The 13,434-nt window shown below is 38.2% G+C and overlaps 1 long non-coding RNA gene across 1 annotated transcript; it reads right to left on the reverse strand.

The window, feature by feature from the left end:
* Positions 1–1,643: 1,643 nt before the first annotated feature.
* LOC101927450 (uncharacterized) lies at positions 1,644–11,888 on the reverse strand. Its single transcript, NR_109771.1, has 5 exons — positions 11,719–11,888; positions 9,399–9,453; positions 5,010–5,264; positions 4,745–4,932; positions 1,644–3,399 (listed from the first exon to the last, which is right to left on the reverse strand). It is a non-coding gene; the product is annotated as an uncharacterized LOC101927450 (long non-coding RNA).
* Between the last annotated feature and the right edge of the window lie 1,546 nt (positions 11,889–13,434).

Raw genomic sequence — 13,434 nt, forward strand, 5'->3', positions numbered from 1 at the left:
TTTTTAAGTCTATCTATATTTGACTACTAAATTGTATTCCTTTTCATGGGTAAATCAGTCTATTTATCCATTCTGCTATCCAGAATGCCCATGTTTTTGCTGTAGACATTTCCTTGAATAGGAATAATATTCACCAAGTTAGGGACTGGTTTCCTTTGGAAAGCAAAGGAGAGAGGAGAAAAAGAGACAGGTAGGGGACTTTAGCTGTAGCCATAAATATTGTTTCTTTTTTTTTTTTTTAGGGGAATGCAGCTGTGGAGCAATCCATCTAGCAAATTGTTAGTATCTGTCTGTTAATTTTGGGTGAAGAATTCATAAGTGTTCATTATTTCTCTATTCTATTTTAAATTATTTTATAATTAAATATAAAAAAATTAACACATACCAAAAAAACAATGGATATGGTTCTATCCTGGAATTCATAATCTTTACTAATGGCACTGAACTTGTCCTATTGCATTTTTCATAAATAACAAAAAATTCCCACAATCAAGGTGAGATACTTATGACATATACCTAGCTAGTTTGGTCATAAGAAGTCAAGAGTCAAGCTTTTCCCCAGTAAGTGCCACTCCATCAACCATGGTAGCTAGGCTCTGCCTGGTCTTCCTGTAAGAATCCAGTTGCATTTTTTCCTGTTGGTTTTGCTGTAGTTAGAAGCAGTGAGTTTGTGTGCTAAGAAATATACACAGGACTCCTCTAAAAATAACTAGATGAGTTTTGTGTATTTAAGAGAAAAGGGTTATGAGGCACCTAGTAATTCATCTGATCAAACTCTTCACTGTTAGCAGGATTTGGCTAATACAGGGCACCTAGGGAATAAGCATGCTTTTTCCTTCATTTCACTCATCTTTTACAAAATAAATCGAACTTGCCTTTGGACAGGAAATAGCTAAGCTTTGGAAATAGTTGTGAGGCTTATCCCATTCTTTCATTTTAATGACTTTCCCTGGTATTTAATCCCATCTTCCCCTTCTTCTGTGACAACACTTATTAGTATGCTCTTCAGATAGCCGTGGAAACAAACAAGGCTATCAAAATACAGCTCACACCAAGTTCTCCGGGCTGAGGTGGCAAGTGGGCGTGTTTCCCTGCCCCCTTGTGGCTTGATTACAGAATTCCTGCTATGCTCACCCCCCACAGCTCATTACCTTGCCTCTTACATAACATGGGGAGAATGAGAGGGTTAAGATTCTGCTCTGCCACTTGCTGCAGAATAGATGGCTACTCTATTAGCGACCGGGCTTTATCATACTTGATAGCATTTGCTTCTTCAGGGACTGATGGCTCCAAAACACTTCTGATCAAGATGGCCTGAGAAGGTCTGAGGTTGTATTTTTCATGTGGAAAGACCAAGTGTGCAAAATAGGTAATGGGCTGGACCAGTAGTCACCTGAGAATAGCCATGACTTTGGAAGGCAACCTTTCCATTGGAATTTGTGACATGATCTCCAAGATAAATCCTGCTTGTCAGAACCAACCAGTAATTATTTTGCAACAATTGAGGTTAAATATTGTGAGCATGCCTATTAAGTGGGATTTTGAGCTGAGTGGGATGTGTAATACCATGTAGAGTGAAATAGAGCTTGCTATCATTAAGAAGTAAAGGGAAAATTTTAATGTTAAGCAAAGACCAAAGAAGATTTCATGGATCAACTGTCATGCAAGATCTTTAATACAGGGCAGAGAAAAGAGCAAATCAGGGCAATAAATAGTTCTCAAACTGTGACAGTACTGAAAATCAATCAAGTGTGATTATCACTGAACTTAGTTCCTTGAAGTGTGCTTCCGAATTTCTCTTTGGCAAGAATGGGTTGCAAATGCAATCACTGCCCTAGGATTTTAAAAAAATCACATATGTTGGGTCATTTCCATTTTACAGACGGAAATCTAAGTTACAAATGAATTGAGATTATTTGTTACAGATCTCATAGTAAATCAGTAGCAGAACAGCAAATAGAATCGAGAGTATTTTGTGCTTTAGATAAGAATTCTTGTCTCCAGAGCAGACTCTCTCTGTAGCCGTAATGAATTGCTTCATTGCTTCCTAATGCACCATGTGTCTTAGTCAACTTGTCCTTCTAGGCTCCTGGAAGCACCAGGTCACTGTGTCACAAGGCAATGTCAAAATGTCACAATGATATCAGCTGGGTGATGACAACAGGGATGCAAGCCAAGGGGTACAGAAACAAATCAACACTTCTGTTGTGCAGCATATAGATGGCATTATTTTCCGTATCAATATACAAAAAAGCTGCTTGGGGATAACATAGAAACTAAAATTAAAAATGAATCTGTACCTCCCATGGTAACATGGTTTATCATCTATTTGCTAGCCTCGGCTTTCCATCAGCCATTCATACTTGATTTATAGTTCGAAAACTGTAAAACAAAAGTAAAACTGTGCTATTGCTAATATTCTAATTGTGCAGATACTGTTGCACAATAATCATGGCTCTTGACTTCTGCTTTATAGAAGTATAGTCAAATATATATGATATGCAGAATCAGCACCAGTTTCTTTATATTTAAAATAAAGCTAAGATGGCCTAAGAAGCCAAAGTGTGTGTATTCTCAAATATGTATATGCATATGTGTAAATGTATAATGTATGTATATATTTCATGAGGATAGTCCTTAGGAAAATAAAATACTAAGATGTATGAAAATAATAACTATTTTTTGGCTGGTTCCCTTTCCATTCACCAAACTGAAATAGGTTTTCCTGATGAAGTTGGTAATCGGATATATAGATAAATTGAAAGATATAGATATATAGATGATATCTATTTCTTCATTGTTTGGGTTTCCCCATTCCCTTCTGCCTTACCATCTTGCTTTTCCTCACCTGGTGATGCCCTCACTCTGCCCCCTGGGCTTCCCCCATTCTGCTGCATTGCTCCATTGGGTCTCGATGACTATTGGCTTCTTACAGATTAGGGATAGTCAACAATGGCTCCGATGTAATGTTTTTGCAAATGTTTCTGTGGCCCACCTGGATACACGGAATCATCTAGGATGCTTCCTAAAAACTGCTCATTAGTAGTAAGTACCCCAGACCTGCTGAAAGAGAGCTGTATTTAACAAGCCTCTTCGCTCTTCTTTTTATGCATGCTCAAGTTTGAAAACTACTTCCATAGAACAGTGATCCTCAGTAGTGCAGTGTGCTATCCCGGGAAGGAATAGGCAACTCATACATTAGGTTTGGTGGTGATGGTGATGGATGGTAGACTTCAAATTACCCCACACATACCAGTATAATATTTAAGCAGTATTCCTGCTGCAATGACTGAGGCTTGCTGCCAGAGAACTCACTATTAGTGATGGGAAGGCTTTCTTTCCTGTAGAAGTGTTGAAGTAAAAATATGATCAGAATTGTCTTTGGGTTTTATGATGCCCCTAAAAGCAAATAGGAAAAAATGACGTTGCATATTTAACTTATTTTTATGTTATAAAAATATTTAATTCTGTATGATAATATAGAAACACAACAAATTTCTTATGTAACTGATGTGATTAATAGATACCATAAATCTATTTCTAGTTAGATTCAACATAAGTTTAAGAGCCAAATATGTACACAAAATGCTGATGTTTGAAAATTGCTACTTTTGGTAGCCATGAAAATATATCACTCAAATCACAGAGCGTGATTGACTGAGAGCCCTTCTGGATCCACTATCATATTTGCACCAAAGCCATGCTTCTCACAGGCTACTCCTAGCCAATGCCTGGACACAGAGTGAGTACCAAGGCAGGTCCATTCCAGGAAGATGCAGCGCTCATAGCAACTTGGACTCAGGGACTTCTCATTGACCTGACTGAATTACTCTTGGAACTAACTCCATTGCAGCCCATGACTCTTCCTACTCTGTATTCCTTTCTTGCCTCTCTCCTTTCATAGCTGTCAGACCTGCACCATGGTCTCACTGATGGCTCCCTCTACCTCCTTTTCCTCCCTCTCACCATCTAATGTTATTCTCTCCCTCAACAAATCTCTTGCCCACTTAACCCTGTCTTCATATCTGCTTCTTGGCAGAGCCAAACTAACACACTACTATGCTTCACAGAAAGCACCTATCAGTTTACATTCTGTCCACTCCATCAAACACACACACACCCCAACACCCCCTCCCCACACACACACCTCGATAGGTTGTTCACACTTTCCTCAAGCTACCTTAATTTATTTACTTACTCTCTTACTTACTAAATTTGAAATGAAACTTCCCCACTCACTTTGGATAATTGGTAACTATAGCAGTTGGAAAGATAATAAAGGGTAAATATGGAAGTGGCATATCTGCTAAACAAGTCATTTTAAGAACGAGAGTTGCAAATTAATTATGCTAGCTAGTGGTGGGCTGTATCAGCGGTGTGATTGCACACTCTTTCTTATGGTATTTAATTCACCCATTTTATCCTGTTTTTTGCATATAAATTTTTAACTCAGAAAGAATGCCTTTGGGATAGCAGTGAGGAAAAAATAATATAATAGCTTCCCAATGCTAAGAAAAACAACCCCAGAATTTTTAGTTTTTCAAATCCTATTAAAATCTGAGTCCAATCTACCTTTTGGATATTATATTCCTGCTACCTTCCCACATGTGTTTTACATACCAGCCAAACCAGACAAATCACTCTGGAGCACTGGGTGGCATATTGGCGCCTAAGCCTTTGTTCATACTATTCCACCTATTGAGAAATTGTTGAGGCAGCCCATATCTTAACCAGCAATTCATACCTAACTTTTCCATCATGCCTTCCTTGATTATTCAAGCAGGAAATGACCCTTATATTCTTAAAGCAAATACAGCACAGCACAGTTTATAAGCACAGATTCTGGAACTGGACTCTAGATTAAAATTTCAGCTTCAACCCTGTGTGATCTGGAGCAAGTCATCTCACCTTACTGAGCCTCAATGTCCTTGTCTGTTAAATGGAGAAGATAACAGTTTCAATAAGTGTTCATTTTGAAAATTAAATAAGTTATTAATTATTATACTTACGATTTTGGTATAGGTTTAGCCCAAGTAGCCTTACAGTATAGTATAATTATTTGTCTATGGTATTTATCTCTCTGAGTAGTGTGTAAACTCCTTGAGGTTAGGCATTGTGTTTTTTCATCTCTCTCTCCACCACAGTTACATGTGAATGGTGGATGCTCAATGATTGTTATGTTTTGGTTTGGGGTAAGTGGATGAAACACAGGTTGAATGAATTATGAATTCCAGCTTTCATATTTACTCTCACAACAGCTCATCCTATTTGGGGGCAAAAGTAACAAGAAGAGAAACTATGTTATGAGGATAAATTAGAAATTTACCTTTAGGGGCAAAAGGCGCAACATACCTGGGCATAACTTACTGGAGTAGACTTTTGGGGAGCTTCCATTTTTCCTATTTTTAAGTGTCTGCTTATTACACTTTTCTATTATAGTAAAACACTTCAGGTAGGTCTTAAAACCAATACATTCCAATGCATACTCTGGTAGAGAAAGGACAGCTAAAGAGGTTGCCAACAAAGAAGATTCACAGGGAACCCTAAGATTTGGTGAAGCATGTAAAACCCAGAAGGCATCTCCAGCCAGAGGCTGAGTTGAGTCAAGCTAACACTGCTGGTCACTTTTCAGACTTCAGTTTATTACACTCAACTAATATCTGCCTCGCTCCTTTGAATTTACATCTAAAAACCAATTTTGGATGTTGTCCTCATTGTTAGCTAAAACATACTGATATATTTAAAATGTGAATCTCACATGAACACAATAATTATCTATGACTGGTAATAAAATGTCTGCAAGATTTTGTATGATTGTTTTTAATAGGTACACCTGATTTTTGTCCTAGACGAACATACCTCTAATTTGACCATGAAAATTAATGGTAAATGTGTTTTGAGACAGAATTTTGCTTAGCTTCTTTGTAGATACACTCTATTTCTGTACAGTGACTATCTGTAGGATAGAAAAGTGCTACTATGTTCCTAGAGTCTTTGTTTTCTCTACGTCATTTACAATTACTCTCATGGAAGGAAGGGGTAAACAGGCCTGCCTAGTTCCCATAATCCCTCAAGTAGCTATTAGGACACTGCCGGAGAATAGTGCCCAAACTGGGGAAAGTCAGAAGAAAAACAAGTTGTGTTTTAATTGTTATTTGAAATAATAACCCTTTTAAAAATGCATATTGAACTCCATTCATATTGAGTTGCATCATTAATTTATCACATAAAGTAAAACTTGCTTAGGACATCCATGGATCTTTAAATTTATCCTATGTAAGGCATTCCATATCTTTGGTACTCAGGTAGTAACAGGGAATATTTGTTTTCAGACCATTCTTTCATAAACATTCTTATGTTGTATAGAATGTGATGGTTAAACTATTAGGAGGGCACATTTTCTTCGTTATAGTTCATTTCAGTAGTCATTAGGATGTCTTAAATTGATGCCCCTATATATTTGTTTACTGGTATTTCAGTATAAAGCTCACATGATGCAAATCCTTAGTTATAAACATTCCCTGTGCACCCATATAAGAGAAAGCAGGTGTTAGGTAACCTATATCCCAACTTTCTAGCTTCCTAAAACACTTAATATATTGTAACACTTAATATATTGTTATTAAACACTTAATATATTGTATAAACACTTAATATATTGTAACAATCTCTTTGGAAACTGTGTTCCCTCAGGGTGGGGTCATTCACCTTTGCATTCACCTTTGCATTCACAGAGTGAGGTAGGTACATAATAAGTAATCAAGAAATATTTGTTAAAAGGAAGTTCTTGAAAGAATATATTTTGTTGCTTTAAGGAAAAAAATTATGTGTAATGAATGGAATGCATGACTTCCTTTAGGAATACTGGCTGCGTGAGTATCTGGTATAATTTCTTCATATCGCAATATGGCAATATGAAGAAGGCAGTTCCTAAAACATGTAGCAAAATGAATCTAAGGCTTTCAGATATAAATGAATACTGGGTGTTCACTGCATACCAGACACTACACTAAGTGCTTTCCATGGATTATTTTGTTTACTCCACACAATCACCCACCCTACTGGTGCTATTATTACCCTCGGTTTACAAATGAGGAAGTTCAGGTAAAATGGAGTAATATTTTAAGTACTGTTTAGTACTTGCCCAACATCACACAGCTAATAAGTGACAGATTTTGATCTCAAAACAGGAAAGTCTGGTTTTATGGCCTGAGGTCTTAACCATTATGCCCTACTGACTTTTAAATAGACTCAGAAAATACATATTCTGCACAAGAAAACCAGACAGGAATCATGTACTTCAAAACCCACTCCATTCATTCATTCAATAAAGATTTATCATGCACCTTCTCTGTTCAGTTTTTCAACAGTCCCTTGCTGGGCTTTCAAAGATGATGAGGAAAACAGCTTCCATCCTTGGCATGTCCACAGCCTTTTATGGGGGTGATTCAATATGGTGAGATTTGAACAAGGGACACTGAGGCCACCTTCAGGTTGTCACTAGTTTACCCAGGTTGGCCTGGGGCTGCTTGGCAGAGGAATTAAGGGATAATCTTGGAGAATGAGCAGGAATTTTACCAGGGGCACAAGACTGGGAGTGTTCTAGAAGGACAACCAGTGGAAAGATACGGAGATGAGAAATATCAAAGCTGACATGTTTCTGGGATTGAAAAGGATATAGCAAAAACATAGAAGGTGAGCCGAAAAGGGTCATAAGTTTACCAAAAGCATTATGCTCAGGCTCACACATTCTGTTTGTGGAGCTCAGGTGAAAAAGCTGGGCCTTCTAGTCAAATATCATGCCAGCCAAACCTCCTGGCTTCAGCTGGGAGCAACCCAAGATAAAAACATGCTCATTCATCTATCAGAATGATAGAGTTGCTGGGTATGGTGGCTCATGCTTGTAATCTCAGCTCTTTGGGAGGCTGAGGCGGGCCGATCACTTGAGGTCAGGAGTTTGAGACCAGCCTGGCCAACATGGTGAAACCCCATCTCTACTAAAAAATACAAAAATTAGCCCGGCATGGTGATGCACGCCTGTAATCCCAGCCACTTGGGGAGTCTGAGGCATGAGAATCGCTTGAAGCCGGGAGGTGGAGGTTGCAGTGAGTCGAGATTGTGCCCCTGCACTCCAGCCTGGGTGACAAAGTGAGAGTCCATCTAAAAAGAAAAAAAAAGAAAGAAAAAGAAAGAAAAAGCAAAAAGGATACAGTTTGCCTCTGCTATGTGCAGGGTATTGGTTCCAGGAACCCCACACATACCAGAATCTGTGGATACTCAAGTTCCTTATATATAATGGCATAATATTTGCATATAACCTATGCACATCCTCCTGTATGTGCTCCAAATCAGCTCTAAATTACTTAGAATACTTAATACAATGTGAATGCTGTGTAAATAGTTGTTATTGGGTTTTAAAATTTTATATTTTGTTGTTGTATTGTTATTGTTTATTATTTTTTCAAATATTTTCCATCTGAGGTTAGTTGAACCTGATGGTGTAGAATCCACTAATACAGAGCAGAGGGAAATGTACACATTGTCCTCCCACAGAAATTTTACTTTCAGGTTTTACATTAGTTATGTAAAGAAATTTTAATTCAGTGCACCAGTAATTCCTGGTTGACCAAGTAAAAGAAAAAAAAATCAGGCTTTATGTTGACACTTAAGATGATGGATGCTCCCCTTCTTTTTGAATAGTTTTGCCAGGCATGATTGATTTAATAATAGGTAGGTTTCATTTTAATACTAGTGACAACTGGGGGAAGAGTTGGCAAGGAGAATAAGAGAGTGGTACTCTCTAGCAGGTATTTAACAAAGACAGCCTGAAAATCAATATTAATCCTTTGCTGGCAGCTGAAAATTTTAGACAACTTAAGCTGACGAATAGGCCATAATGTGTCAGTAGTGTTAGTCTATTCATTGGCTGGATCTTGCACTAGATGAGAACTCTTGTTGATTAAAAATCCATTCCAGGAATGCCATTGCACATGTTAAAGAGGTCTTATTTTCCCCTGGGACCAAAAATGTTCCTTCCTTTGCCTTTTCAGGCCTTTCTTTAATTTCATCAATTTCTGAACAGCCCTGTGACTTCCCTGTAGGTAAAATTCTTACAGTTATTTTCAAGCTCCAGGGCTACCTATCTCCATCCTACAGAACAGGTAGGTGGCTGCATGGAGCCCTCCCCACCCATAGAGTACATCTCCTGCACACACCAGACACAATCAACCCAAAGCTGTGAAAGCTGCAGAAAGCAGTCTTATAGAACCAATCAACCCTCAAATATGGCCCTACGGCAGGATTTCTTGTCCTTATGTATAATGTTGGTGGAAGAGGTGTCACAAGAAAACTGTGAAGAAAATCAGGAAAGAAGAAACTGAACCTTCTGTATTTCATACCTAGTAAATGCAAGTCGAGGTCATTGCTGTAATTCAGTCTCTCTACTTTGGGGATCTGCAGGAGAAGAACTTAAGTTAGAACTGAGGCAGGCTAGTGTGGTAGAATGCTTGAAAAAGTGAACTTTGACCTAGACAATCTCTCCAAAAACAGGAATTTCTTATGGTTTTTACTTCTTACTTGCAACTGGTTAGTAAGAAGACTCATGCCTGAAGTATTCAAAACAACTGGGAAAGTGCAGAAGAGATTAAGACCACCTAGGTGAATGGTAAACAGGAGCTGCTTGAAGAAAGTGTCAGAATCTTTATGGCAATCCAGGGTTAAGTAGGCATCTCTATGGGAACTTCATGGTTGAGGAAGCATCCTCTTTTCTTAGAAGTGCTATGGTGTCTTCTGCTCAGTGTAGCATATTTGTTCAGGTATGTTCTCATAGCCTTGAAGTACATTAATGGAACATATATCTTTTTCCTCTGTTATCTCATCTCTTTCTATCATCTTTATAAATTATGACAATGCCCAAGAACCTCAATTTACAAAATTGTCTTTTTCACACTACTGGTTGGAAAAGATTTAGAAAAATGGAAAGTTTTCCCCAAAGCCCCTTTTTTTAAGAAAGCGAGGAAATTCTCCACAACCTAATCCCCTATGAGACTCTCTAACGTTAGAGAAAGAATGAAATTAGATAATTTAAATTTCTAACAGTATGTAACTGTAGGAGTCAGACTGTGACTTCTACCTCACATCCTACGAGCAGTGAATTCTTGGTGTCTCCCTCTTTCTATTCTACTGAACACAGGAAATTGAAAATGTCAATTAGAAAATCTTATGAAATTGGAAATCCGAAAACTAGATGGAAGCTTGATGTAATTACAGAACACCTCTTAAATGGGCCCATTGTTATCAGGCTTAGAAAATAGTGCAAAGTCAAAAGAATTGAACTCTTGTTCACTTTTTATGGTAATGTGTTCATGAAGCTAGATGCATTATATAGTTTTCTTGTTTGACACTCATGACCCTTGAGATATTGGTGTTCTTATATCATGTCAGATGAGGTTATTGAAGTTACTGGGGCTCAGACAGGTAACATAACTGGTGAGTGAGATAACATGAATGCATTCAGACATTCCTGATTCCACAGCTCATATGCTTTTCAAAGCACCATGTTTTAAAAAAAGTTTAGCATATGATAAAGACAAAATAGATTGGGAAGTCCTCCTTGATGTTTTCTTTTCTTTCACATCTCACATTCAAACCTTTTGGCTGTGTCTACACACTTATATATAAAATCCAATCACCTCTTTTTTTTTTTTTTTGAAACGGAATCTCACTCTGTCACCCAGGCTGGAGTGTAGTGGTGCGATCTTGGCTCCCTACAAGCTCCGCCTCCCGGGTTCATGCCATTCTCCTGCCTCAGCCTCCCCAGTAGCTGGGACTATAGGTGCCTTCCACCATGCCTGGCTATTTTTTTTGTATTTTTAGTAGAGACGGGGTTTCACCGTGTTAGCCAGGATAGTCTCAATCTCCTGACCTTGTGATTCACCCGCCTCGGTCTCCCAAAGTGCTGGGATTACAGGCGTGAGCCACCGTGCCCAGCCACCTCTCTTCTTCATTGTTGTTATCATACTACTGCAAGCCCTCAGCATTTCTTTCTTGAATTACACAATATCTTCCTAACTGGTCTCTCTGTGTCTACCCTTGGCAACAGAAACTTGCATGAAGCTTTTGCAAGTGTTTCCTCCCAGTCTAAGGCTTGTCTTCTCATTCTCTTGACATTTTTTTTCATAGAGCGAAGTTTTAAATTTTAATAAATTCTAACTTATCAGTTACGTCTCATGTATTGTGCCTTTAGTGTTGTATGTATCTGAAATGTCATCACTAATCCCAACATCATCTAGATTTTCTCTGATGCTATCTTCTAGGAGTTTTATAGCTTTCATTTTACATTTAGGTCTACGATCCATTTTTGAGCTAATTTTCGTGACAGGTGGGGGTAAAATCTCTGTACAGATGCACTTTTGACATGTGGATGTCCAAATGTTCTAGGATTATTTCTTGAAAAAACTATTTTTTCTCTATTGTATTACTTTTTCTTCTTTGCCAAAGATCAGATGACTAAATTTTTGTGTATCTATTTATGGGCTCCCAGTTCTGTTTTATTGATCTATTTTTCCATTCTTTTACCAGTCACATTGTCTTGATTACCATTTATAGTAAATCTTAAAGTCAAGTGGAGTTTGTTTTTCAACTTTGTCAGGTACACCCCTTCCTCTGATCTGGTTGTTCTCTCTACCTATATCACTCTTCCTACAGATGTCCACTTGCCTGATTCTCTTCTTTATTTTCTTCTTCCTTCTTCGAGCCCCACCACTAGCCCCAGATGGTCCCGCTGATGATAAAACTGAAAGTAATACATCACATTTTCTTTGACCTCTCCAACCATGTGTTGTGAAAACGTAGTTTCCTTTGCATGTGGTCTCCCATTTTTGAGATCTGTCTAGGTCACGTGATCCATCCGTTGCTTCAGTAATCAGTTAAGAGGATGTTACCGTTTAAATGTAATCAGTGTAGCAAGGGGTAGCTGTAGGAAGTTTGCACAGAAAAAGAGGGCTGACTTATTACCCAGGATATGTGTCTCATCCCTGTACAATGACTGGAATTACTTTGCTCTGACAGACAAAGACAAGGTTATTCCTACCTCAGTATGACTATTGACTATGAACCTTTCACAGACAATTTAATCAGCACCTCAACCTAGAAAAAGTCCCAGCCATTCATGGACCTGACCTAATACACTGCACAGAGAAAAGAAAAGGAAAAACAAAAACAAAAACAAAAAACATTTACAATAGTAGTTAAAAATAAAACCCCTAGAGTAGAGTTTGTGGTTCTTTATGGAATGGCCATTCACTTTTATACTCTTCAAGTTATGATCTAGCCCATTTGTAAACTCTCACGTAGAGTTCCTACTGGGTGCCTGCTACTCACTGACCCTCTACCCACCTTCTCCTCACCTATCCTGTTAATATGTATGCCATAACGCAAATACTATATGGATTACATGCTGAACAGTCAGCTTCCCATCTGCTTCCCCAGCTTCTCAACCACCCTCTGGATTATGTCCAGAAAGGGTACTCTAGGAATGAAGGCAGCCAGGCAGGTCTGTATAAAAAACTATTTCATGAGAGTACATTAAGATTGCAAGCTGCAGAGAAAGGAAATCAAATGACAACGTTTATCTATCAGTATAATATGAACGCCAGTCCTGGCTCAGCCCCTTAGTGGTATGGCTAGAATGAATTTAGGCATTAATCCAAGCCTTGGTTCTTTAATACATAAAATAATAATGTATTATTATTTTATGTATTAAATGTATTATTATAATAATAATAATAATACTCATAAAATCGTAATGAGTATTAAGTGATATGTTGATGACATAAAAATCTATACCTTTAACCCAGACATATGAGTTTTAGACCCATATACCTAATGATCTCAAAATCCTTTCTTTGATTTTTAAAAGATACCTCACAATTTTCATATAAAAAAAACCCTCATAATCTTACCCCTTCTCAGTAAGGATACATTAGGTAATGTTGCAGCTACAGACAACCATAAACTCTCAATGCTTAAAACCATGAAAGCTTATTTCTCTCTTGTACTACCTGCCCATCTTAGGTAGGCAGAGGGCTCTGCTCCAGGGCATCCTCACTTGAGGACCCCAATGGACAGAGCCTCCATCATCAGGAACATCACTGGTTGCTGTGGCAGGAGAAGGCCACACCTAGGTTCTTCAGAACTTCCATCCCATGAATAACACATGTTACTGCTATGCACATGCCATTGGCCAAACTGTGCCATGCTAAATTCAAATGTTCAGAAAAATACAATTCTACCATGTACTCACAGGGAGAAAAACCAGAATATTGGTAACAGGCTTAATGTCTACCATCCTTCCCAAATCGGATCCACCTCCACTGTTTTCAATCTCAGTGGAGCAGATTGGCTAGAAGCTCACCAATGCCAGGACATAGAGGA

This window comes from Homo sapiens, chromosome 9 (assembly GCF_000001405.40).
Source record: "Homo sapiens chromosome 9, GRCh38.p14 Primary Assembly".
In the NCBI taxonomy this organism is placed as follows: Eukaryota; Metazoa; Chordata; class Mammalia; order Primates; family Hominidae; genus Homo; species Homo sapiens.